The 23,126-nt window shown below is 54.8% G+C and overlaps 2 protein-coding genes across 13 annotated transcripts, besides 10 other annotated features; one reads left to right on the top strand and one right to left on the bottom strand.

Moving 5' to 3' along the window:
• On the bottom strand, positions 1,759 to 6,850 carry TSEN34 (tRNA splicing endonuclease subunit 34). Of its 7 annotated transcripts, NM_001282333.2 has the most exons (6): positions 5,920 to 5,947; positions 4,684 to 4,930; positions 4,327 to 4,570; positions 3,918 to 4,175; positions 2,973 to 3,116; positions 1,759 to 2,669 (listed from the first exon to the last, which is right to left on the bottom strand). In NM_001282333.2, the coding sequence occupies exons 2-6, from the start codon at positions 4,924 to 4,926 to the stop codon at positions 2,620 to 2,622; spliced, it is 939 nt and encodes a 312-aa protein (NP_001269262.2). In that variant the 5' UTR covers positions 4,927 to 4,930; positions 5,920 to 5,947; the 3' UTR covers positions 1,759 to 2,619. The 7 variants fall into 7 exon arrangements, with proteins under 7 accessions (NP_001269262.2, XP_047295347.1, XP_011525596.1 ...); XM_047439391.1 differs by lacking the exon at positions 5,920 to 5,947 and adding an exon at positions 6,695 to 6,850 and having other exon boundaries at positions 1,759 to 3,116; XM_011527294.4 differs by lacking the exon at positions 5,920 to 5,947 and adding an exon at positions 6,129 to 6,190 and having other exon boundaries at positions 1,759 to 3,116.
• Positions 3,531 to 4,047: an enhancer, noted in NCBI's record as "H3K4me1 hESC enhancer chr19:54696095-54696610 (GRCh37/hg19 assembly coordinates)". NCBI's record gives its function as "activates a minimal SCP1, AML or CMV promoter by ChIP-STARR-seq in primed H9 embryonic stem cells {active_cell/tissue: H9 hESC(primed)}" and the evidence as "EXISTENCE:reporter gene assay evidence [ECO:0000049][PMID:30033119]".
• Positions 4,892 to 5,093: a silencer, noted in NCBI's record as "fragment chr19:54695049-54695250 (GRCh37/hg19 assembly coordinates)". NCBI's record gives its function as "represses an EF-1alpha promoter that drives an FKBP-Casp9 reporter gene in an ReSE screen in K562 erythroleukemia cells {active_cell/tissue: K562}" and the evidence as "EXISTENCE:reporter gene assay evidence [ECO:0000049][PMID:32094911]".
• Positions 6,016 to 6,697: an enhancer, noted in NCBI's record as "H3K27ac hESC enhancer chr19:54693445-54694126 (GRCh37/hg19 assembly coordinates)". NCBI's record gives its function as "activates a minimal SCP1, AML or CMV promoter by ChIP-STARR-seq in naive H9 embryonic stem cells {active_cell/tissue: H9 hESC(naive)}" and the evidence as "EXISTENCE:reporter gene assay evidence [ECO:0000049][PMID:30033119]".
• Positions 6,698 to 7,383: an enhancer, noted in NCBI's record as "H3K27ac hESC enhancer chr19:54692762-54693444 (GRCh37/hg19 assembly coordinates)". NCBI's record gives its function as "activates a minimal SCP1, AML or CMV promoter by ChIP-STARR-seq in naive H9 embryonic stem cells {active_cell/tissue: H9 hESC(naive)}" and the evidence as "EXISTENCE:reporter gene assay evidence [ECO:0000049][PMID:30033119]".
• On the top strand, positions 6,711 to 22,876 carry MBOAT7 (membrane bound acylglycerophosphatidylinositol O-acyltransferase MBOAT7). 6 transcript variants are annotated; one of them, NM_024298.5, is made up of 8 exons: positions 6,711 to 6,953; positions 7,780 to 7,858; positions 7,945 to 8,074; positions 9,004 to 9,130; positions 12,611 to 12,770; positions 15,158 to 15,518; positions 17,350 to 17,526; positions 21,860 to 22,876. In NM_024298.5, the coding sequence occupies exons 2-8, from the start codon at positions 7,783 to 7,785 to the stop codon at positions 22,245 to 22,247; spliced, it is 1,419 nt and encodes a 472-aa protein (NP_077274.3). In that variant the 5' UTR covers positions 6,711 to 6,953; positions 7,780 to 7,782; the 3' UTR covers positions 22,248 to 22,876. The 6 variants fall into 6 exon arrangements, with proteins under 6 accessions (NP_077274.3, XP_011525601.1, XP_011525602.1 ...); XM_011527299.4 differs by having other exon boundaries at positions 6,711 to 6,989; XM_011527300.3 differs by having other exon boundaries at positions 6,711 to 7,100.
• Positions 12,166 to 12,665: an enhancer, noted in NCBI's record as "H3K4me1 hESC enhancer chr19:54687509-54688008 (GRCh37/hg19 assembly coordinates)". NCBI's record gives its function as "activates a minimal SCP1, AML or CMV promoter by ChIP-STARR-seq in naive H9 embryonic stem cells {active_cell/tissue: H9 hESC(naive)}" and the evidence as "EXISTENCE:reporter gene assay evidence [ECO:0000049][PMID:30033119]".
• Positions 14,779 to 15,293: an enhancer, noted in NCBI's record as "H3K27ac-H3K4me1 hESC enhancer chr19:54684715-54685229 (GRCh37/hg19 assembly coordinates)". NCBI's record gives its function as "activates a minimal SCP1, AML or CMV promoter by ChIP-STARR-seq in naive H9 embryonic stem cells {active_cell/tissue: H9 hESC(naive)}" and the evidence as "EXISTENCE:reporter gene assay evidence [ECO:0000049][PMID:30033119]".
• Positions 15,294 to 15,809: an enhancer, noted in NCBI's record as "H3K27ac-H3K4me1 hESC enhancer chr19:54684199-54684714 (GRCh37/hg19 assembly coordinates)". NCBI's record gives its function as "activates a minimal SCP1, AML or CMV promoter by ChIP-STARR-seq in naive H9 embryonic stem cells {active_cell/tissue: H9 hESC(naive)}" and the evidence as "EXISTENCE:reporter gene assay evidence [ECO:0000049][PMID:30033119]".
• Positions 15,810 to 16,325: an enhancer, noted in NCBI's record as "H3K4me1 hESC enhancer chr19:54683683-54684198 (GRCh37/hg19 assembly coordinates)". NCBI's record gives its function as "activates a minimal SCP1, AML or CMV promoter by ChIP-STARR-seq in primed H9 embryonic stem cells {active_cell/tissue: H9 hESC(primed)}" and the evidence as "EXISTENCE:reporter gene assay evidence [ECO:0000049][PMID:30033119]".
• Positions 21,376 to 22,191: an enhancer, noted in NCBI's record as "H3K27ac-H3K4me1 hESC enhancer chr19:54677794-54678609 (GRCh37/hg19 assembly coordinates)". NCBI's record gives its function as "activates a minimal SCP1, AML or CMV promoter by ChIP-STARR-seq in primed H9 embryonic stem cells {active_cell/tissue: H9 hESC(primed)}" and the evidence as "EXISTENCE:reporter gene assay evidence [ECO:0000049][PMID:30033119]".
• Positions 22,192 to 23,008: an enhancer, noted in NCBI's record as "H3K27ac-H3K4me1 hESC enhancer chr19:54676977-54677793 (GRCh37/hg19 assembly coordinates)". NCBI's record gives its function as "activates a minimal SCP1, AML or CMV promoter by ChIP-STARR-seq in primed H9 embryonic stem cells {active_cell/tissue: H9 hESC(primed)}" and the evidence as "EXISTENCE:reporter gene assay evidence [ECO:0000049][PMID:30033119]".

The raw sequence follows: 23,126 nt of genomic DNA, 5'->3' as shown, positions 1-23,126 counted from the left end.
ATCTTTTAATATGATGATTCTGGCCGGGCGCGGTGGCTCACGCCTGTAACCCCAGCACTTTGGGAGGCCGAGGCGGGTGGATCACAAGGTCAGGAGATCGAGACCATCCTGGCTAACATGGTGAAACCCCGTCTCTACTAAAAATACAAAAAATTAGCCAGGTGAGGTGGCGGGCGCCTGTAGTCCCGGCTACTAGGGAGGCTGAGGCAGGAGAATGGCGTGAACCTGGGAGGCGGAGCTTGCAGTGAGCAGAGATCGCGCCACTGCACTCCAGCCTGGGCGACAGCGAGACTCCGCCTCAAAAAAAAAAAAAAACAAAAAAACAAAAAAAAAACGATGATTCTGGCTGCTCTGTTGAAAACAGACAACAGAGGGGCAAGAATGGAAGGCAGGGGATGAGTTAGGAAGCTATCAATATCAAATGAGCCATGGTTTGGTTTTTCTAAGATACTGGCAGTGAAGGTGGAGGGTGGGGCCTAACTGTGGATCCACAGTGCTTTGAACATGGCACCTATAGAATTTGTTGACTGACAACATGGGGGGACACCAGTCACAAAAGTTTTTTTTTGTTTGTTTGTTTTAAATAGAGATGAGATGAGGTCTCACTATGTTCAGCCAAGGCTGGTCTCAAACTCCTGAGCTCAGCGGCTCAACTGATCTTCCCACCTTGGCCTCCCAAAGTGCTAGGATTACAGGTCTGAGCCACCACATCTGGCCACAGGAGTTTTAAATGAGGAACTTTTCAGAGGAGAGACTCATGACAGAGGGAATGAGACTTCTAAGTACTTTGTTGTAGAGAGGAGAAAGGGTGGAGAATAGACTTACAAAGCCAATTATGAAGCAGGCACAAAGAGAGTATTGGCCAGACAGGGGTTAGCGTCATTTTTTTTCTTTTCATTTTTTTGAGATGGAGTTTAGCTCTTGTTGCCCAGGCTGGAGTGTAGTAGTGCGATCTTGGCTCACTGCAACCTCTGCCTCCCGGATTCAAGTGATTCTCCTGCCTTAGGCTCCTGAGTAGCTAGGAGTACAGGCGCATGCCACCACGCCCGGCTAATTTTTTTTTTTGTATTTTTAGTAGAGATGGGGTTTCACCATATTGGCCAGGCTGATCTCAAACTCATCTGCCCACCTCAGCCTCCCAAAGTGCTGGGATTACAGGTGTGAGCCACCACACCTGGCCCAGTGTCATATTTTAAATTAATCTAAACTTACAGGAAATTGAGATTCTATGAAGTCTGTTTACTGGGAATGGCAAGAAAGAGGGGAGATGGGAGTCTCTCTAAACCTATTCTGGTTCCAGAGGCTGCTCAATTCACACAAAAAAGAGAAAGAATGAAACATGGGGGGAAGAAATGGAAGAACTAGAGGTGGAGACTTTCAGCCCCAGAATTTTACCATGTGGAAGTTTTTGTTTGTTTTTGTTTTTTTGAGACAGTGTCTAGCTCTGTCGCCCAGACTGGAGTGCAGTGGCGTGACCTTGGCTCACTGCAACCTCCACCTCCCAGATTCAAGTGATTCTCCTGCCTCAGCCTCCGGAGTAGCTAGGATTACAGGCGCCCGCCACCACGCCCGGCTAATTTTTGTATTTTTCATAGAGGCGGGCCATGTTGGCCAGGATGCTCTGGAACTCCTGACCTCATGATCCGCCCGCCTTGGTCTCCCAAAGTGCTGGGATTACAAGCATAAGCCACCACGCCCAGACTCACCATGTGAATGTATTACACTGACAAAATAAACGTGACAAAATAAAACTGCACATTGATAAGATAAAGGTGTAATTATTGGAATAGTGGTAGTGTTCTAGTACTTTCTTAAGCAAAAACATGGGTAAATGATTTCATAAGTGCAAATTTTTTACAAATACATGTGTTTTAGCTTTTATAAAAATTGCAGAATATAACACATCCAAAAAAGAGTCTAAAATATAAATATACAGTATCAAAAAAATTCACCACTACCCAGGCCATGAAAAAGCAGAACGCCTTCCAGAGTCCTTCCTTTCTCCCCAGGCTCTGAACTCCTAAAATTACAATACTCATTTCCTTTCATAATATATATATATATACACACACATATATATACATACATGTGTGTATATTTACATATATACACACACACATATATATATTTTTTGAGACAGGTTCTTGCTCTGTCTCCCAGGCTGGAGGGCAGTGGTGCAATCACAGCTCACAGCAGCCTCAACTTCCCAGGCTCAAGGGATCCCTGGCTAATTTTTTTTTAAATTATTTTTTGTAGAGACTGGGTATTACAATGTTGCCAGAGCTGGTCTCAAACTCCTGGGCTCAAGCGATCCCCCTGCCTTGGCCTCCAAAAGTTCTGTGGGATTACAGGTGTGGGTCATCGTGCCCAGCCTATATTTTTATTTATAACGTTTGTATGCATCTGGGAAATTTCATAGAAATCTTTTCAAAAGGAAGTTTAGTGAGGTAGAAAGAGTGCAGATTTAGGAGTCAGAAAAACCAATTTTGAAAGGCCAGGCCTGCTATTTACTAAGTGTGTGACTTTGGGCAAGTCAGTCCCCCTCCTCCAGGCCTTTTTCTCACCTGTACATGCAGATGAGACCATCCACGGGTTCCAGGACTGTCGCAAACATTCAAATCATGAACATTTATATACCAAGTTTATTGAGACCTCCTGAGACTTAAACCCTGTAGAAAACAGATGAATCAAACCCAGGCCCCATTCTCGGGAAGCTCACAGTGTGAAAATAGGTAACTACAAAAACACAGCCAATAAGTGCTTTGAAACAAGGAAGAACATAAAAAAGATGTAGTGTTCGAAAACCTGGAATCAAAAACTAACCGCGGAGAAAGGTAGGAGGATGTTCTAGACTCCCAGAGAAGAGCTGGGGAACATCCAGAAAGGCTCTTGCTGCCGACACAGCCACATCCCCTAGGTCTCTGGAGTTCACTGCAGGCTGGCCCATTGCAGGGAGGTGTAGACCACCTTACCATCAGGCTGCGGAGAACAGAGGAGCAGGGTCTTTCTGACGCTGGTTCCAAGGCGCCCAGCAGCAACCAGGTCTTGGAGTGGGATGGTGTCCTCAGGGGCCCAGCACTGAGCGATATAATGGGCGTGGAAGCGGAGGGGGTCACCTGGGGGAAGGAGAGAGGCACTGAAGCAGTGACCAATGGCAGACGGCTGGACGCCACGGGAACGACCACTGGGAGGAGATCTGAGATCATTTCAGCCATCACTATAGATACTCTAAAACAGATGCTCTTGGACACAACTATTCCACTTCTAGGCTTTTTTTTTTTTTTTGAGACAAAGTCTCGCTCTTGTCCCCCAGGCTGGAGTGCAATGGCACGATCTTGGCTCACTACAACCTCTGCCCCCTGGGTTCACATGATTCTCCTGCTTCAGCCTCCCGAGTAGCTGGAAATACAGGCACCCACCACCACGCCCAGTTAGTTTTAGTATTTTTAGTAGAGATGGGGTTTCACCATGTTGGCCAGACTGGTATCAAACTCCTGACCTCAGGTGATCCACCTGTCTTGGCCTCCCAAAGTGTTGGGATTACAGGCGTGAGCCATTGCGCCCAGCCTGATGTCTAACTACTTCTAAGTGAATCTTCTGGATCACAGTAATCATTTAATAAAAGTCGTTAAACTGCTTGCCCAATGAGTTCGGGAGCTCCCAAATGTTTCCTGTCTGTCTATGAATTTCAGAGGCTAAGAGAAAGTGAGACAAAAAAGAAAAATGCAGCTGGGCCTATAATTCCAGCACTTTGGGGGGCCGAGGTGGAAGGATTGCTTGAGCCCAGGAATAGGGACCAGCCTAAGCAACAAGAGACCCCACCTCTATTAAGACAAAAAAAAAAAAAAAGAAAAACGCAGAATACATTGGGATCGTATGGAAAGGCACAGCAACCAGAGGCCCCAACCCATACTCACCAGGATAGACCAGGAAGTCACCTCCGAACTTGCCAGCCGCACTGAGGAAGAAGCCTCGCTCCCACAGGTCTCTGTAGATACTGTAGCGCAGCTCGTGGGCAGGGCGGCCGGCGTGGGGCCAGTCTTTAGACTGGACACGCCAGTCCAGGGGCCTGGCCTTGACCGGTCGAGGCCTGGCAGTGGCCAGCTGGACAAGGAGAGCAGATCTGGGCAAGGGGGCTACCCCATTTGAGGGTCCTGCTTGGGAAGACGAGGGGCCTGGTGGGGAGTACAGAGAAGAGTTTGGTAAATTCAAGGGGTAAAGTCTTCTCACCCTCAGGGAGACCCAGGCACTGGATTCCCAGCTAAAATTCCTAAAAGATCTCTCCTCTCCTTCCCGTGGTCCCTGGACTCCACCTCCCATGCTCACCAGCTTCCTCCTGCTCTCCCGAAGCCTGGCCATCACTGGTCTCATCCTCTTTGGCAGCCTGGCTCGAGCCGGCCTCCTGGCTTGAGCTGGCCCCTGAAGCCTGTTCTAGTTTCTGCTTCTTAGCAGCCTGGCCCTCCGTAATCTTCTCCAGGAGCTCCTGACGACGGGTCTCCCGGGCCTCAGCTGCCAAGGCGCTCTGCTCCTGGAAGCTCTCCTCTTGCTGGCGCTTGAAGGATGTCAGGGCCTGAGAAGCACACTTCGCTGGAACCTCCAAGCTTATGGTCCCTTCAGAAGCCAGGAAACTTGACTCCCAGGTCCCGCTCCCACCGAACCCGAGTTCGAGCCCCGCCCCCTTACCAGGCTGTGGTGCCGAGAGTCTGGACGCGGGGCGCTGACCAGAGTCACGGCGCCGATCTCGGCCAAGAGCCGCGCCTCTTCGGGCATCAGCAGCAGCGGGAGGCCCAGGCGCGAGTTCTGGCGGGGCCCGCGGGGCAGGGCGCCTACCGTGCGGCCCCCCACACCCAGGCGCTCCCGGAGGGCCTGCACCGCCTCGGCTCCCCACACCAGGGAGCGGCCGTTCGCCACCTCCACCACCAGCATCCTCCTGCGGGAGCCGGGAGGCAAAGCAGTTACCGAAACAGCTGCGCGCCGCGGACCGCTGCAGCGCACCCAAAGCCTCCGGGGTCTCGGCGAAGCCCCGCCCCTAGGCCTCAGGGGGCGGGGCCTCGCTCAGCCGCCGTTCACCACCTGCTGGGCCCGAGCGCCAGGCCCCGCCCCCGGGCGATCCCACCAGGCCTCGCGGCCGCCGGAGACGAGACGCCGGAGACAAGCCCCCGACCCTCTCCCCTCGCCAAGCCCCCAGGGTCCCGCTCTACCCTTGTGACCCTGCGGTCGGCACCCGCTCTGTGCCCGCACTGCCGTACCTACCATTGCGCCTTGGAGCGTGAAAAACAAACCTCCGCAAGCGCGGCGACACGCCCCCTTACAAAGGTCCATTTTGGCACCACCCTCTTGCAAAGTGGGCGTCCCCCTTCGGGTGTTCCCGTCAGCGGTCAGAAGCTCTGGAGGCTAAGGCACCGCCGAGGCCACACCCTCTTCCGGACGCTCGAGCCTTCGCTCCTCCTCTTTCCGAACGACTGTGATTCGGCTTTCGGACCTCCTCGCTCTCAGACTCCCACAGTACAAAACCCTGCCCCCTCCCGAGCACAGGAAGTTCGGCGTTCGGGCGTCCTCGGCTCCACCGAATCCGCAGCCCCGCCCCCTTCTCGAACGCCAGCAATTTGACGTTCGGGTGTTCTCGGCTCGGCCGAATCCGTAGCCCCGCCTCCTCCCGGACGCAATAGGTTCGGCGTTCGGGCGTCATCGGCTCCCGGCAGCCTCGCGGCCTGTGGCCCCGCCCCCTCCGAGCGCCAGCGCACCCCAGTTGGGGAGTTCCCGCCCTACGACCGAACCCCACAGCCGAAAGCCCCGCCCCCTGGACACCCGCCGTCCACTCTCCGCTCGGGCGGGCTCACCCCAATTGGGAGCGCTCAGTCCGCCTCCTTGCCTCCCTTCAGAATGTCCCACTGTCCACCGATAGAACCAGCGAGTCACCTCATAAACAGTAATTCGCAGTCGAGGTGGAGCCACCCACTGCGCACCGCGCCACGCGCTCCTTGCTCCACCCCCTCATGCCGACACCCTCGTCAACTTCGTCATCCCGCCCCATCAGCGCCGCGGGAAGTCAGGTCCCGCCCCTCGCAGGACCGAAGCCCCGCCCTCCTCCCGCGGGGGCCACCTTGGCTCCGCCCCACTGAGCGCACCTCCCTCTGCCGCTTCCTCTCCTCTACTTGGGAACTTGAGGATCGTCATCCTGGCCCGGTCCCGTAGGCGCACGCCGGCCCTCGGGGTTCCGCCCCTTTGAGGGCAAGTCGCTTTCGCCCCGCCCCCTTGTAAATACTCATGGGTGTCTGGCGAACCTGTTGACTCCGCCTATCATCCTAGCGTCACTTGTACCCAACTATCTACGAAGTAAACCGAAGCTTGTGGCCCCACCCACATCCGGCCGAGTCTGTGGCCCCGCCCACATCGGAACAGTGACCCTAAGGACTCGACTACCTCCGAAGAAAGCCGAAACATGTGGCTCCGCCCACAGTGGCCTCAGCTCTCCGTTCTCGACTATTGCCGAAGTGAGCCGAAGTTTGTGGCCCCGCTTCCGGAGAACTCAAGCTCCCGATTGTGCCCGAAGGAACCCGAAGGGAGACCCCGCCTCATTCCTCACGCCGAGCTCCAGACCCCGCCTCCTTTCCAGAGCCCGTCTGTTCCCCTTCGGGTCCAAAGCTTTTGGCTCCTCCTTGTTCCGAGCCCGAAGGCCCGCCCCTTCACGTACTCGGAGCTCGGATCCCAGTGTGGACCTGGACTCGAATCCCGTTGCCGACTCGCGCTCTCGGCTTCTGCTCCGGGGCTTCTTCCCTGCCCGCCCGGGGCCCTGACCGTGGCTTCTTCCCCGGCCTGATCTGCGCAGCCCGGCGGGCGCCCAGAAGGAGCAGGCGGCGCGGGGGCGCGCTGGGCGGGGGAGGCGTGGCCGGAGCTGCGGCGGCAAGCGGGCTGGGACTGCTCGGCCGCCTCCTGCCCGGCGAGCAGCTCAGGTGGGCCAGGGTGGCGGCGCCCAGTGGCGAGGCGAGGTTACACGGCGGCAGGGTCTCTGCGGGCTGGCGGGTGCGGGGCGGCCCCGGAGGCGCGTTGGAACTCGGGGCTGGCGCAACCGCCTGTGGCTCTGCCGGGGATGCGCTGGGGTGCGCGGGACGGGTTGGGGCTGGGCCTGGGCCTGGGCCTGGGGAGGGGAGGGTGTTCGATCCCCGGGTTCTCAGTAGGAGAGGGGTGTGGAGCTCCGAAGGAGGTGCAGGTTGGAGACCCGGGCTCCTCTGGGTGGTCTCGAAGGAGAAGGGCTGGGGGGTCCGGATATCTGGTTTCACAAGGGCCGGGGGATGGGGGATCCAAAGAGGGGGTCTGGGTTCCTGGATCCTCGCTGGAAGAGGGGGCTCGGAGGTCTAGATTCCTGGGCTGTCGAAGAGGAAGGGTCCGGGAGGGGTGCCGTTTCTGGGTTTTTAAAAGAGGGGCGTCTTCAAATCTGGGTCCCCAGTATGGGTGCGGGGAGTAGCTTTGATTTCTGCGTTCGCAAAGGAGGGGCTTGGGTGCTGGGAGATCCCCACACTTTCCTGGGTTCTCCAAGGACAGGAGAGCTGGAGGCCTGTGCGCTCAAAGGAGGGGCTGGGGGTGGATTCCTGTCTCCTCCAAGGAGGAAGGGGCTGGAGTCTGGGTTGCTAGGTTCTCAAAGGAGAGGAGCTGAGGCTCATACTCCATCATCCTCAAAAACTGGGGTCTAGAAGGCTGGGTTCCTGGATCCTCGAAGAGGGAGGAGGCAGGGGGCCTGGATTCCTGGGTTCTCACTGTGAATCTCTGCCCCTCCCCCAGACCATGTCGCCTGAAGAATGGACGTATCTAGTGGTTCTTCTTATCTCCATCCCCATCGGCTTCCTCTTTAAGAAAGCCGGTGAGTCAGGCTCCCTCCCCAGTGGAAAATAAAGGGGGGGGACCCTCTGGAAGGTTCCAGGCTTATGCTGTCCCTTCCCCCTGCAGGTCCTGGGCTGAAGAGATGGGGAGCAGCCGCTGTGGGCCTGGGGCTCACCCTGTTCACCTGTGGCCCCCACACTTTGCATTCTCTGGTCACCATCCTCGGGACCTGGGCCCTCATTCAGGCCCAGCCCTGGTGAGAATTTGGTGGAGGGAGGAGAGGGAGAGGAGGGGAGAGGGGGAAGCAACCTGTTTCCTCTTTGAGTCTTTTTCAGCTTCTGCCTCATGTCTAGCTGTCTCTTGTTGATCAGCTCATTTCTCTGTTTCATGTTTGTTTGTTTGTCTTTCTTTCTTTCTTTCTTTCTTTCTTTCTTTCTTTCTTTCTTTCTTTCTTTCTGAGATGGAGTTTCGCTCCTGTTGCCCAGGCTGCAGTTCAGTGGCACGATCTTGGCTCACTGCAACCTCCACCTCCCGGGTTCAAGCGATTCTCTTGCCTCAGCCTCCCAAGTAGCTGGGATTACAGGCATGCTCCACCATGCCTGGCTAATCTTGAATTTTTAATAGAGCTGGGGTTTCTCCATGTTGGTCAGGCTGATCTCGAACTCCTGACCTTGTGATCTGCCCACCTCAGCCTTCCAAAGTGCTGGGATTACAGGCGTGAGCCACCGCATCCGGCCTTCATCTGCTTTTCTTTCTCCCCTGCCTTCTGCGTCTGGTCCCTGTGTGTTTGTCCCAGTCCGCTACATCCATGTCATGGAGAGAGGTGGACAGTGTGTCTGCTGGCCTGGCCACCGTTCATATTCATTCATATCCACCTCTCTCTTCTTGAGCCCTGGACCTCGGAAATAAAGAAAAAGTGGAGGATTGCAGGGTCTTCACCCGAAGCTTCTCTTAACCTCATTCTCTGTTGGTGTGTGTTTCTATGTGGCTGAGCCTCTTCTCCCACTGTTTCAATCATACTCATTCGGTCCCTACATCCACCCTCCTGTCCTCTCTGCCCTTCTGTGTTTCTGTCTCTAAACGAATGGGGAGAGCTGGGGGAGGATTGGTGGCTGGACTCGTGGAGTGAGTGGCCAAGGCCGAGACTTCTGTGCCCAACACAGTGCGCCTCCTGCTTTTGCCCAGCTCCTGCCACGCCCTGGCTCTGGCCTGGACTTTCTCCTATCTCCTGTTCTTCCGAGCCCTCAGCCTCCTGGGCCTGCCCACTCCCACGCCCTTCACCAATGCCGTCCAGCTGCTGCTGACGCTGAAGGTCAGACTCGGGGCTTGCCACTCCCCTCCAGCCTCCCTGTGGGCCCCTTCACCTCCCACTTTACCTCCCCCTTCAGTGGCTCCCCGGGATTTTACCTCCAACACACCCTGGGGGTGGGACGTCACCTCACTTGCTGCCCTGGGCACAGCATTCCCCATTCACATGCCCTTGGGCAGGTCTTCACCTCCCAGCTCCTCCTGGGGTGAGGAAATAACCCACATAGGGTAACAGTAGGTGCCATTGGGTGCTTGCGGTGTGCCAGAGGCCCAGCTGGGTGGTTTACCAACATGCTGTCCTTGAATCTCTGTAGCCAGCTATTTTGCAAAGGAGAAAAACCAGCTCTGGGGAGAAGGTACTTGGTGAAGGGAACAAAACTAGGGCATCCAGGTCTGGCTCCTAATCACCTGGGAAGAGGGGTAAAAACAGAATCCTAGGGCCCACCCCAGACCCACAGAGTCATGGTTTCCTACTGGCGGCTTATCCGTGAACACAGCAGTCATGCTAGGTAGGGAGTGGCCTTCCCAGCATTCAGTGTGCCCTGTGGGAGCTCAGTGGTGGCAGGAGTAGGTTGGATGAGAGAGGGGTTCGTGGAGGAGCATTTCAGGCCGCAGGATGTGTGGAGGGGAGCAGGCTGGGTTCCACAGGCTACACCAGCCACATCCACTTTCTGGGACGAGCAAAAGGGAACAGGCAGCAGGGCTGACACCGTGCTAGGCCTGGCTGGAGACCGTGAGGACATTGGACTTCTTCCCGTGGAGGATTGAGATCTGCTGGAAGAGGGGATTTTTGGTTTGCTGCCAGAAGAGGCAATGTGACCAGTTTTAAATGTTTAAAAATACTCGTTCTGGCTGGGCACAGTAGCTCACGCCTGTAATGCCAGCACTTTGGGAGGCTGAGGCAGGCGGATCACCTGAGGTCGGGAGTTCAAGACCAGCCTGACCAAAATGGAGAAACCCTGTCTCTACTAAAAATACAAAAGATTAGCTGGGCGTGGTGGCACATACCTGTAATCCCAGCTACTCGGGAGGCTGAGGCAGGAGAATTGCTTGAACCCAGGAGGCGGAGGTTGTGGTGAGCTGAGATCGTACCATTGCACTCCAGCCTGGGCAACAAGAGCAAAACTCCATCTCAAAAATAAATAAACAAATAGAAATACTCATTCTAGGCCAGCTGCGGGTGGCTCACGCCTGTAATCCCAGCACTTTGGGAGGCTGACGCGGGTAGATCACCTGAGGTTAGGAGTTTGAGACCATCCTGGCCAACATGGTAAAACTCCGTCTCTACTAAAAATACAAAAATGAGCCGGGTGTGGTGGCTCACACCTGTAATCCCAGCTACTCAGGAGGCTGAGGCAGGATAATTGCTTGAACCTGGAAGGTGGAGGTTGCAGTGAGCCAAGATCCCGCCATTGCACTCCAGCCTGGGCCTTCCCGGGCAAGATTCCATCTCAAAAAAAAAAGAAAAGAAAAGAAAGAAAACTCGTTCTGGATGCTGAAGGAGAATTGAAGTGGAACAGGGCAAGATGGGATGGACTCAGATAAAGGGATCCTCCTTTGTCCGAGTCCAGGTGACAAACTGTGGTGGCTTGATACAGGCCGTTGGCTGGCTGTGGGTAGGTCTGAGTTGCAGCAGGAAACGCGCATTTAGGATGACTGAAGGAGTGGCCACCAATTGGGCAGGATGTAGAAGAGCAAGAAGGGATGGTGCCTGAACCCCAGCCCGGCAGAAGGAGCCGTTCCCAACCCTAGGCCCAGGGGAAATGGGTCAGGTTGTGGTACCTGGATGGAAAAAGGGTTGTGTAGGCCTGGTGCAGTGGCTCATACTTGTATAATCCCAGCGCTTTGGGAGGTCATAGTGGGAGGACTGCTGGAGGCCAGGAGTTTAAGACCAGCCTGGGCAATATAGTGAGACCCTGTCTCTACAAAAAATTAATTTTTTAAATGTTATTTATTTTTAAAGATGGAGTCTCGCTCTGTTGCCCAGGCTGGAGTGCAGTGGTGTGATCTCACTGCAACCTCTGCCTCTCGGGTTCGAGCGATTCTCCTGCCTCAGCCTCTCGAGTAGCTGGGACTACAGGCGCCCACCACCACGCCTTGCTAATTTTTATATTTTTAGTAGAGATGGGGTTTCACCATGTTGGCCGGGCTGGTCTCAAACCCCTGACATCAAGTGATCTGCCTGCCTAGGCCAACCAAAGTGCTAGTGTTATAGGTGTGAGCCGTCACACCTGGCCCTAAATTTTTTTTTTTTTTTTTTGAGACGGAGTTTCACTCCTGTTGCCCAGGCTGGAGTGCAATGGTACGATCTTGGCTTACCGCAACCTCCGCCTCCCAGGTTCAAGCGATTCTCCTGCCTCAGCCTCCTGAGTAGCTGGAATTACAGGCACTCACCACCATGCCCGGCTAATTTTTTGTATTTTTAGTAGAGACAGGGTTTTTCCATGTTGGTCAGGCTGATCTCGAACTCCCGACCTCAGGTGATCCGCCTGCCTCGGCCTCCCAAAGTGCTGGGATTACAGGCGTGAGCCACCGCGCCCGGCCAAAATTATTTTTTTTAAAGGGTGTGTAGAGCCACCCACCTTGAAATGATCTATCAAGGGTGACAGCCAGCCCAAGGCCATCTTACAAGGGAATAAAAGCCCTACCCTCCCTCTCCTGACTTTGTCTCCAGCCAGGGATTTCTACTGACAACCCAGCCACAAGCTGGAAGAAGGAGATCTATTGATATAGGGTGGACCTTGGGACTGGTGGGAAAGGGTGGAGAGTACAACATATTCAGCTCAGTAGTGGAGATGGAAAGAGGCAACAGACTCAAACTTAAGGGATTTCAAGGCGGGCAGATCACTTGAGGCCAGGAGTTCGAGACCAGCCTGGCCAGCTGAGGCATGAGAATTGCTTGCGCCCCCAGGAGGTGGGGGTTGCAGTGAGCCGAGATCACACCAGTATACTCCAGCCTGGTGACAGAGCAAAACTTGTCTCAAAAAAAAAAAAAAAAAAAAAGAGAGAGAGATTAAAGGATCGGATTTGGGGAGTGAGGGAGATTTTTGGCTTGAACAATTTGGTGGCCTGTTGTTTGAGGGGTGACACTAGAAGAGGGTCTACCTTGTGGGGTGGGTAACATCATGTTCCGTTTCCAGTGCGTTTGGGGTGCCTGGAGACATCCGAGTATAAATGCCAATAAGCCACTTGATTGGATAGGTCTGGGGCTGGGGTAGCGTTTGGGCGTCCTCAGCGTGTGGATAGTATCGAAACCTCCGTGATTGCGTGAGAGCAGGTAAGCACAGAACAGGGAAAGGGGAGGAGGGCCTGGGACTGAGCCCTGGGGAACACCGCCCAGCTAGAGGCGTTACACACAACCTAGATGGGCAGAGCTGCGGGCACCCAGCACCCCTTGGCTGCCGAGGGCAGCCGCGCAAGGGAGATGGGTGTGGGGAAGGGCCCAGAGTCTGACCTGGCCCCTTGCCCACCCCCTTCTGCCCAGCTGGTGAGCCTGGCCAGTGAAGTCCAGGACCTGCATCTGGCCCAGAGGAAGGAAATGGCCTCAGGCTTCAGCAAGGGGCCCACCCTGGGGCTGCTGCCCGACGTGCCCTCCCTGATGGAGACACTCAGCTACAGCTACTGCTACGTGGGAATCATGACAGGTGAGTGGGGCTGCCCTAACAACTCTGCCGCTCTGTCTCCTGTGTCCCCTTCCGCCCTGAGTGCCTGTTCTGTGTTCCCGCCCTGCCCAGGGCAACCTCCATCCTAGCATCTGCTGCTGTGAGGGTGGGCATGTGTCTGGGTCTACGTCTCACACCTCCGCTGGACCAGAGCTGCTTTGGGGTAGAAGCTGGCTGTCTCAACCTAAGCAATTCCTTGCTCTTCTCCTTGTAGCGTATTGGGAGCAAAGAGAAGAGATAAAGGAGGTAAAGATCTATGTCAACCTGATGTTTTTGCTTCCCAGACAACAAATATTCACGGCTTAGGGTCCACTTTCAGCTTAAGGAAATATTTTTCATCTGGGCGTGGGGGCTTATGCCTATAATCCTAGCACTTTCGGAGGCTGAGGCGAGAGGATTGCTTGAGGCCAAAAGTTCAAGATCAACTTGGCCAACATAGCAAGATCCCGTCCCTTTATTTTAAACCTTTATTTTTAAAAAATAAATAAATATAAAATTAAAGGGCCGGGCGCAGTGGCTCACGCCTGTAATCCCAGCACTTTGGGAGGCTGAGACAGGCAGATCACCTGAGGTCAGGAGTTTGAGACCAGCCTGGCCAACATGGTGAAACCCCGTCTCTACTGAAAATACAAAAATTAGCCGGGCATGGTGGTGTGTGCCTGTAATCCCAGCTACTTGGGAGGCTGAAACTGGAGAATCGCTTGAACCCACGAGACGGAGTTTGCAGTGAGCCAAGATCACACCACTGCACTCCATCCTGGGCAACAGAGCAAGACTCCATCTCAAAAAATACATATGTATGTGTGTGTGCATGTGTGTATATATATGTATGTGTGTATGTGTATATATATGTGAAATTTTAAAAAGAAAATATTTTTCATTAATGTTTACCTCATCAAAGGTTTTTTTTCCAATAACAGCTTTAGGGAACTCTAATTCACATACTCATCCACTTAAAACATACAACTCTTGGCTTCTTTAATTTCCTGAAAAAAAACAAAACACAAAACATACAACTCCCTGATTTTTAGTATATTCACCGAGTTGTGCAGACATGACCACTGTGTAGTTATATTCAGAACAGTTTCATACCCTGCAAAGAAACCCCATGTCCATCATCCCACAAACCTCCATCCATCCCTGGTAACCAGTAATTGACTTTCTATCTGTAAAGATTTGCCTGTTCTGGACATTGCGCTTACAAATGGAATCATACAACATGTGGTCTTATTTATTTATTTTAATTTGTTTTTTTTTTCCTTTTATCTTCCCATGCTACATTGACCTAAACATACGGCCTTTGTGAACATATAAAAATTTTAACCCCGGTCCCTTCTGTGAATCACACTGCTTCCTCCCTAGGCCAGACCACCATCATATTGTAGCTAAAGTGCCACAGCTATCTCCTAGTTTCTTTCCTTCCTCCTTCCCTCCGTCCTTCCCTTTTCCCTTCTTCCTTCCTTCCCTCCTTCCTTCCCTCCCTCCTTCCTTCCCTCCTTCCCTCCCTCCCTCCTTCCTTCCCTCCCTCCTTCCTTCCCTCCTTCCCTCCCTCCTTCCTTCCCTCCTTCCCTCCCTCCCTCCCTCCTTCCCTCCTTCCCTCCCTCCCTCCTTCCTTCCCTCCTTCCCTCCCTCCCTCCTTCCTTCCCTCCTTCCCTCCCTCCCTCCTTCCTTCCCTCCTTCCCTCCCTCCTTCCTTCCCTCCTTCCCTCCCTCCCTCCTTCCTTCCCTCCTTCCCTCCCTCCTTCCTTCCCTCCTTCCCTCCCTCCCTCCTTCCTTCCCTCCTTCCCTCCCTTCTTCCTTCCCTCCTTCCCTCCCTCCTTCCTTCCCTCCTTCCCTCCCTTCTTTCTTCCCTTCTTCACTCCTTCCCTCCCTCCCTCCCTCCCTCCCTGGCTGGAATGCAGTAGCTCAGTCACTGCTCACTGCAGCCTGGGCTCAAACGATCCTCCCGCCTCAGCCTCCCCAGTAGCTGGGAATTCAGGTGCCCTCCACACCTGGCTGATTTTTATTTTTTGTAGTGATGGGGTCTTGCCGTTTTGCCCAGGCTGCTGTCCAACTGTTGGGCTCAAGCAGTCCTCCCAGCTAGGCCTCCCAAAGTGCTGGGATTCCAGGTGTGAGCCACCGCACCGGCCCCTCTGTCTGTTTTTCTGTTACTGTCTCTGTCTCTCTGAGTTTCTTGTCCCCCCTGTCTCTCGTTCCTTATCCCCATCTCTCAGGGTCTCAGTCCCTACCCTTGGGGTCTCCCCGGCGCCCAGTCTCTGCCCCTCTCACTCCCTCTTCCCACCTTCCTTCCAAGCTCCCTGTCCTCCTCCTGCAGACTTGAGCTCTGCCCACCTGCCTGTCTGACCGCGGCCCTCCCTCCCCGCCCCACAGGCCCGTTCTTCCGCTACCGCACCTACCTGGACTGGCTGGAGCAGCCCTTCCCCGGGGCAGTGCCCAGCCTGCGGCCCCTGCTGCGCCGCGCCTGGCCGGCCCCGCTCTTCGGCCTGCTGTTCCTGCTCTCCTCTCACCTCTTCCCGCTGGAGGCCGTGCGCGAGGACGCCTTCTACGCCCGCCCGCTGCCCGCCCGCCTCTTCTACATGATCCCCGTCTTCTTCGCCTTCCGCATGCGCTTCTACGTGGCCTGGATTGCCGCCGAGTGCGGCTGCATTGCCGCCGGCTTTGGGGCCTACCCCGTGGCCGCCAAAGCCCGGGCCGGAGGCGGCCCCACCCTCCAATGCCCACCCCCCAGCAGGTCAGGCGGCGCGAGGGAGGCTTCCCAAGACCCAGCAGCCCCCACCTCCAAGGGCTGGCTCTGCCCCTAGCCGGGAGGAGAGCGGGGAGCAAGGGGCCAGGGCCACCACCTTTTTGAGCAGAGTGTCGCCCCCTCGGCAACCATGGCCTGCCAGCCCCTGTCGGTAGGGAAAAGATCCCTGGTACTGACAGATGCCCCTTGTTGCTAGCGCTTGTCACCCCGCAGTGTGGTGAACTGCCCCCTGTCGCTAGGAAAAGGTGGTAACTTAGCAACCCTGTGCCACCCCTCTGTTGCCACAGAAGTGTCACCCCCCAGAACCAGATTGTTCCTGCTTGCTGGGGATGCCATCCTTTGCTAGTGGTGGGTCACCCTCTGTTGCTAGGGAAACGGTTCCCTAGCAACAGAACGCCACTATTTGCTAGGGAAGCAGGATCCCTAGCAACAGTAGCTCACCTCCTTTTTACCAGAAGTTTTGCTCTGTTGCTGCAGATACGGCACTCCCTGCACTGCCCCTTTGTTGCTAGGAGCTAGCACTGCTCCACCCCGTGGGATGTCCTCACATAGCAGCCCTCAGCAGCCCTCTGCAAGGAAATAGCAATTTCCAATCCCTGACCAGTGCTGTTCCCCAGCAGAGGGCACGCCATTCCTACCAACTACAGTTACACTGTTGCTAAGGAAGCCAAACCTCCCCCTGGAAACTATGGGTTGACCCTTGTTGCCAGAGAGGCTCCACCCCCCGGCACCTGCATTGCTAGGCAAGTCGCACGGCCATAGCTGTGGACTCTCTTGTGGCTGAGGAAGTATTGCCCCCGTGTTGCTAGGGAGATGGCACCCCCGGCAACCAGGAGTAGACTGCCCTTGTGTTCCTGACAGCTGCAGTCAGCCTTCCCCCAGGGGCTTGGACTGCGGCTGGGGGAACAGCCTGTTGATGTAAATGATGAACTACTACTCCCTGCTAGGGTTGTCCCCTAGTCGTCACAAACTGCCATTCTGTTGTGGGGGTAGTGACACCCCCACGGGAATTTGTTACCACTGCCCTAATAACCGTGCCCTGACCTCCAGCTGCTAGAGAGAGGATGTCCCCCTAGTAAAGCCAAGCAGGAATTGAAGGTTTTTCTAAATCTGCTCGGTCCTCACTCCTAAAGGATGGCTCCCCTCCTGTCATCAGAGGCCACCAAGGCTTCATATGGGCCAGTGTTTCCCACTGCTGGGGCTGTCGACATGAGTGATGAGGGAGCCACTGTATTGCTAGAGGTGACACTTCTCCAATAATCACTGCGACCAGGAAAAAAGCCCCTTCCTAAAAGCCTTTCTAAACATCCTAGGCATTGTTGCTAAGGAATGCCTTTTCCTTAGCAACAAAGATCATGGGGACCCCACTGGCGCCTGGAACATCTCCCTAGCAACCGTGAAGCACCTTGTTATTAGGGATGATAACCACAACTTCCCTGGCAACTGCAGTGTCCGACAATTTAGAAGGGACCATCCTTGGCGGCTTCTCTGAATATACTGAGCTTGGTTGCTAAAGGACTCATAGCTTAGCAACCATAGCCCTTCAAGGCTTTTCATGGCTGTGGCGGGCCCCATTAGGTACCAAAAGAAGAAGAACCCCATTGTCAGTGGACTGTACCACCCAGCCCACCCACCTTCCTACCCTACAGGCACCCTCTGGGCCACCCTCCCTTGCTGCCCTAGCAAGTCTGACAGCCAGAGGGCCATTGCCTGGCCAGGATCCCTTCCTTAGCATCCGGGGCTGGGACACTAGCAGGCGTCGGGAGGGGGCCTGGCTGAGCTGCATGTCTGTCCCCCACCCTCATCCTCCACCCCCCAGTCCGGAGAAGGCGGCTTCCTTGGAGTATGACTATGAGACCATCCGCAACATCGACTGCTACAGCACAGATTTCTGCGTGCGGGTGCGCGATGGCATGCGGTACTGGAACATGACGGTGCAGTGGTGGCTGGCGCAGTATATCTACAAGAGCGCACCTGCCCGTTCCTATGTCCTGCGGTGAGTGAGCCCGCCCAGTCTCAGGTGACACTGCAGAACTACATCTCCCAGCAGGCCCCAGGGTAGCCTGCAGCGTCCCTGGCTGGGCCCCTGCCCCCGGAGGCTCATGGGAATTGTAGTTTGTTTAGCCTGGTTTTGCCCTGCCTCTAATTATAGTGGCAGCATGCCGGTGTAAAATCGTTCCCCCTCTCGGGGCCTCAGTTGCTACTTCTGTAAAGTCAGCCTCACTCAGCAGAAGCAATGTACTGAGTCCTGTGGACTCAATAGCCAGCCTTCCTGGAATCTTGGCCGTCCAGGTTATGGAGAAACCTTGAGGAGTTAGTTGACCTCTTAGTTGCCTCAAGTGTTGAATGGAGTGAATGCTATTTATTACTGGTTTCATAGGTAGATAGAAGGACTAAATGTGATAAAATGTGAAATGTATTTAATGTGAGGCCTGACAGGTAAGTGCGTGCTGTGTATTCATTTTTATTGTTTTTCATTCTTCCAATATTTCTCGAGTGGAGACTCTGTGCTTGACACTGTTATCTGTGCAGCCTTTAGAAGCAGAAACTCAGCCGGGTGCGGCAGCTCACGCCTGGAATCCCAGCACTTTGGGAGGCCCAAGCAGGTGGATCATGAGGTCAGGAGTTCGAGACCAGCCTGACCAACATGGTGACATGCTGTCTCTACTAAAAATACAAAAAATTACCCTGGTGTGGTGGTGGGCGCCTGTAGTCCCAGCTACTCGGGAGGCTGAGGCAGGAGAATGGCTTGAACCCGGGAGGCAGAGGTTGCAGGGAGCTGGGATCTCGCCACTGCACTCCAGCCTGGGCGACAGCGAGACTCCGTCTCAAAAAAAAAAAAAAAAAAAAAAAAAAAAAACAGAAGTAGAACTCATAGCCAGGCATGGTGGCTCACACTTGTAATCCCAGCAGTTTGGGAGGCCCAGGCAGGTGGATCATCTTGAGGTCAGGGCAATATGGTGAAGACCAGCCTGGGCAATATGGAGAAACCCCTTCTCTACTAAAAATACAAAAAATTAGCTAGGCATGGTGGCGGGCGCCTATAATCCCAGCTACTAGGGAGGCTGAGGCAAGAGAATCACTTGAACCCGGGAGGCGGAGGTTGCGGTGAGCCAAGGTCACCTGGGCAACAGAGAGAGACTTTGTCTCAAAATAAAATAAAATAGGCCGGGCACGGTGGCTCATGCCTATAATCCCAGCAATTTGGGAGGCCAAGGTGGGTGGGTCACAAGGTCAGGAGATCAAGACCATCCTGGCTAACACGGTGAAACCCTGTCTCTACTAAAAATACAAAAAATTAGCCGGGTGTGGCGGCGGGTGCATGTAGTCCCAGCTACTGGGGAGGCTGAGGCAGGAGAATGGTGTGAACCCGGGAGACGGAGCTTGCAGTGAGCCGAGATCGCGCCACTGCACTCCAGCCTGGGCAACAGAGCGAGACTCTGTCTCAAAAACAAACAAACAAAAAAACACAAAAAACAAACAAAAATAATTATTAATTTAATTTAATTTAATTAGATAAATGTGGAAGGGGAAGACCCAGGAAGAGTAAGTTTTGGGAGTAAGAAGGATATTATTATTAGTATTAGTATTAGTATTAGTATTAGTATTTTGATGCTCTGTCACCCAGGATGGAGTGCAGTGTTGTGATCTCAGCTCACTGCAACCTCCATCTCCTGGGTTCAAGTGATTCTCGTGCCAAGAGTAGACGCAGGGTTTCACCATGTTGGCCAGGCTGGTCTCGAACTCTTGGCCTCAAGTGATCCGCGTGCCTCGGCCTCCCAACGTGCTGGGATTACAGGCGTGAGTCACCATGCCCGGCCAAAATTTTTTAAGTATTATTATTATTTTTTTTTTACTTTTTAAAAAATGTATAGAGATGAGGTCTCACTGTGTTGACCAGGCTGGTCTCAAACTCCTGGCCCCAAGCAGTCCTCCCATCTCAGCCTCCCAAAGTGCTGAGATTACAAGCATGAGCCACTGCATCTGGCCAGGTATAGATGACGCTTAAAGCTCTGGGGCTGAGGCCAGGTCAAAGCACCCCAGTGTTTAGACAAGTGCTTCTCAACTGGGGGCAACTGTGCTGCTGCTGCACCCCCAGGAGACACATGGCAATCCCTGGAGACATGTTGTTGTAACTGGAAGGTGCTAGTCGGATGTCGTGGGTGGGGGCCAGGGATGCTCCTAAACACCTTAAAATGCACAGGATCCATCGTTTTTGTTTATTTTACAGCTCAAGTGCAGTGGCGTGATCTCGGCTCACTGCAACCTCTCCCTCCCAGGTTCAAGCAATCCTCCTGTCTCAGCCCCCCTAGTAGCTGGGATTATAGGCACGTGCTACCATGACAGACTAATCTTTGTATTTTTAGCCTCCCAAAGTGCTGGGATTACAGGTGCCAGCCATTGCACCCAGCCTCCGCACTCTTGAAGAACCAGAAAGCCAATGGTCCTCCCTTCTCAAGAAAACAAGAGTTGGCCAGGTGCAATGGCTGACATCTGTAATTCCAGTATTTTGGGAGGCCAAGGTGAGAGGATCACTTAAGCTCAGGAGTTCGAGACCAGCCAGGTCAACATAGCAAGACTCCATCTTTACAAAGAAAAAAAAAGAGGCTGGGCGCGGTGGCTCAGACCTGTAATCCCAGCACTTTGGGAGGCCAAGGTGGGTGGATCACAAGGTCAGGAGATCGAGACCATCCTGGCCAACGTGGTGAAACCCCATCTCTACTAAAAATACAAAAATGGCTGGGTGCAGTGGCTCACGCCTGTAATCCCAGCACTTTGGTAGGCCACGGCGGGTGGATCACAAGGTCAAGAGATTGAGAGCATCCTGGCCAACATGGTGAAACCCCGTCTTTACCAGAAATACAAAAATTAGCCTGGCATGGTGGTGGGCACCTGTAGTCCCAGCTGCTCGGGAGGCTGAGGCAGGAGAATCACTTGAACCCAGGAGGCAGAGGTTGCAGTGAGCCGAGATTGCACCACTGCACTCCAGCATGGGCGGCAGAGCGAGACTCCGTCTGAACAACAACAACAAAAAATACAGAAATTAGCTGAGTTTGGTGGCGCTTGCCTGTAATCCCAGCTACTTGGGAGGCTGAGGCATAAGAATCGCTTGAATCCAAGAGGCAGAGGCTGCAGTGAGCCTTGTCGTGTGGCAACAGAGCGAGACTCTGTCTCCAAAAAAATAAAAAGAGTGAGGAAAGATGGTGCTGGGCCTTGGAGGAAGAGGAACATATCTCCTGGGCCCAGAATAAGGAAGGACCACAGGCCAGGGACTTCTGGATCTTCATGAGCCAGGCAGGAGTTGTCAAATGTTAACAGGCATCAGAGTCACTGGAGGACTTGTTAACTTGGAAGACTTCTCCTGGGCCCCACCCCCAGGGCTTCTGGTGCAAAAGGGGTGGGGACAAGGATTTGTATGTCTCACAAGTTCTCAGGTGATGCTGATGCCAGACCTGGGACCCCAGGTTAAGAACCACCGGGCTGCCCGGGTGTGGTGTCTGACACCTGTGATCCCAGCACTTTGGGAGGCCAAGGCGGGCAGATCACGAGGTCAGGAGATCGAGACCATCCTGGCTAACACGGTGAAACCCCGTCTCTACTAAAAATAGAAAAGAAAATTAGCCGGGCGTGGTGGCAGGCGCCTGTAGTCCCAGCTACTCGGGAGGCTGAGGCAGGAGAATGGCGTGAACCTGGGAGGCGGAGCTTGCAGTGAGCCAAGATCGCGCCACTGCACTCTAGCCTGGGCGACAGAGCGAGACTCTGTCTCAAAAAAAAAAAAAAAAAACCACTGGGCTGAAGAATTAAGACTTGTTGGTCCTGGGAGAGGAAGGGCAGTGGAATATAAAATGTTAAATCTTTAAAGAAGAAGAGGGTCTTGATAGGACTGAGTGTGTATGGAAGGCTGCGAGCTCCTGGATCCCTGAAGGAGACAGAGGCCTGTAGCCTCCTCCGCCTTCCGGAGCTAGGGTCATGGGTCTGAGTGGGGAGGGCCTGGGGCCTGGTCTCCTGGATCTGAGGGAGGAGGGAGGTGGGGTCTGGTCTCCTGGATCTGAGGGAGGAGGGAAGTGGGGTCTGGACTCCTGGATCTGAGGGAGGAGGGAGGTGGGGTCTGGTCTCCTGGGTCTGAGGGAGGAGGGACTGGGGCCTGATCTCCTGGGTCTGAGGGAGGAAGGGGTGGGGTCTGGACTCCTGGGTCTGAGGGAGGAGGGGCTGGGCCTGCACTTCTCGGTCTGAGGGAGGAGGGGCTGGGGTCCTGGACTCCTGGATCTGGGGGCAGTGGGCACTGGGGACCTGGACTCGTAGGTCCTGACTCCCAGCCTCCTCCTCAGGAGCGCCTGGACCATGCTGCTGAGCGCCTACTGGCACGGCCTCCACCCGGGCTACTACCTGAGCTTCCTGACCATCCCGCTGTGCCTGGCTGCCGAGGGCCGGCTGGAGTCAGCCCTGCGGGGGCGGCTGAGCCCAGGGGGCCAGAAGGCCTGGGACTGGGTGCACTGGTTCCTGAAGATGCGCGCCTATGACTACATGTGCATGGGCTTCGTGCTGCTCTCCTTGGCCGACACCCTTCGGTACTGGGCCTCCATCTACTTCTGTATCCACTTCCTGGCCCTGGCAGCCCTGGGGCTGGGGCTGGCTTTAGGTGGGGGCAGCCCCAGCCGGCGGAAGGCAGCATCCCAGCCCACCAGCCTTGCCCCGGAGAAGCTCCGGGAGGAGTAAGCTGTCACGACGCTCCCTCTGCCAGCTGGTCCCGGGAATTCTGTGAACCAGGCTGCTGTCTCCTCCCCAGAAAGAGTCCTTACCTTGGAGAGGGTCCTGGAGAGAATTTCCTCTTCCCCAGCTAAATACCCTGCCTGCAACTGAAGCAGACCCGGGGGTGTCCTCCCTGCCCTCTGCCCAGAGGCCACCTCCACTCCTACAAAATCAAAGTATTGTCCAGACAAGAGTCACTGGCCCCTGCTCCAGCTTCTGGGTATCCAGAGAGCACTGCACTTCCCCAAAACGGAAGGGGCCCCTGGGCAGTGGGTTTTGGGCAAATTCCCTTTCTTTGCATCCACAATGTGGGGTCGGAGCTTGGGGGCAGGTCCTGGGAGTGGGAAGCCTCTTCCTTGTGTCTTTCGCTCCACTTTTAGCTCATCGCACCAATATTGCAGACTTGGAAGGAAGCATAAGCTTCCCATTTCACAAAGGGGAAACTGAGGTGCGGGTGCGCGGGCCTGGGGACGGCCGTCCCATGGCTTCCATCTGAGCCACCTCGGGACCCCAGCACTCCTGGCGCCCTCTTCTCATCGCTTGGCCTATGACAGGTCACCGTGTGTAAATCTTTCCCAATAAAGTGTTGCACAAAGGCATCGTGTCCGTGCAGGTATCTGGGTGATAAACGGTGGGAAGGACTTAGTCCACCAAGTCCCAGGGTGAGGTACAGCCCCCCCGCCCAGCCCAGGAACCAAACTGTGAGGCCCGGGGCACCACGGGGACTTCAGCTCCCAGGAGACCTTTCGCATCAGCGGCCCTGAGAAACCACAGGAAGTGTACCTTACTCCCTCCGGGCCACCTGCTGGCCAGGTACACACCTGCCCCTGGCCCCTCCCTTACCTG

Source organism: Homo sapiens, chromosome 19 (assembly GCF_000001405.40).
Source record: "Homo sapiens chromosome 19, GRCh38.p14 Primary Assembly".
NCBI classification, from domain to species: domain Eukaryota; kingdom Metazoa; phylum Chordata; class Mammalia; order Primates; family Hominidae; genus Homo; species Homo sapiens.
Note: the sequence above shows the minus strand (reverse complement) of the source record. Positions and strands in the feature narration are given on the sequence as shown.

Bases quoted from the DNA above. Each gene is read 5' to 3' on its own strand.
- TSEN34 (NM_001282333.2), bottom strand. From the start codon at position 4,926: ATGCTGGTGGTGGAGGTGGCGAACGGCCGCTCCCTGGTGTGGGGAGCC. The intron at 4,176-4,326 runs GTGAGCATGGGA...ACTCCCCACCAG, and splicing joins GGGAGAGCAGGAGGAAGCTG to GCCCCTCGTCTTCCCAAGCA. The intron at 2,670-2,972 runs GTAAGGTGGTCT...TGTTTTCTACAG, and splicing joins CTGTTCTCCGCAGCCTGATG to GGTTTAAGTCTCAGGAGGTC.
- MBOAT7 (NM_024298.5), top strand. From the start codon at position 7,783: ATGTCGCCTGAAGAATGGACGTATCTAGTGGTTCTTCTTATCTCCATC. The intron at 8,075-9,003 runs GTGAGAATTTGG...GCTTTTGCCCAG, and splicing joins CTCATTCAGGCCCAGCCCTG to CTCCTGCCACGCCCTGGCTC. The intron at 17,527-21,859 runs GTGAGTGAGCCC...CCTCCTCCTCAG, and splicing joins GCCCGTTCCTATGTCCTGCG to GAGCGCCTGGACCATGCTGC.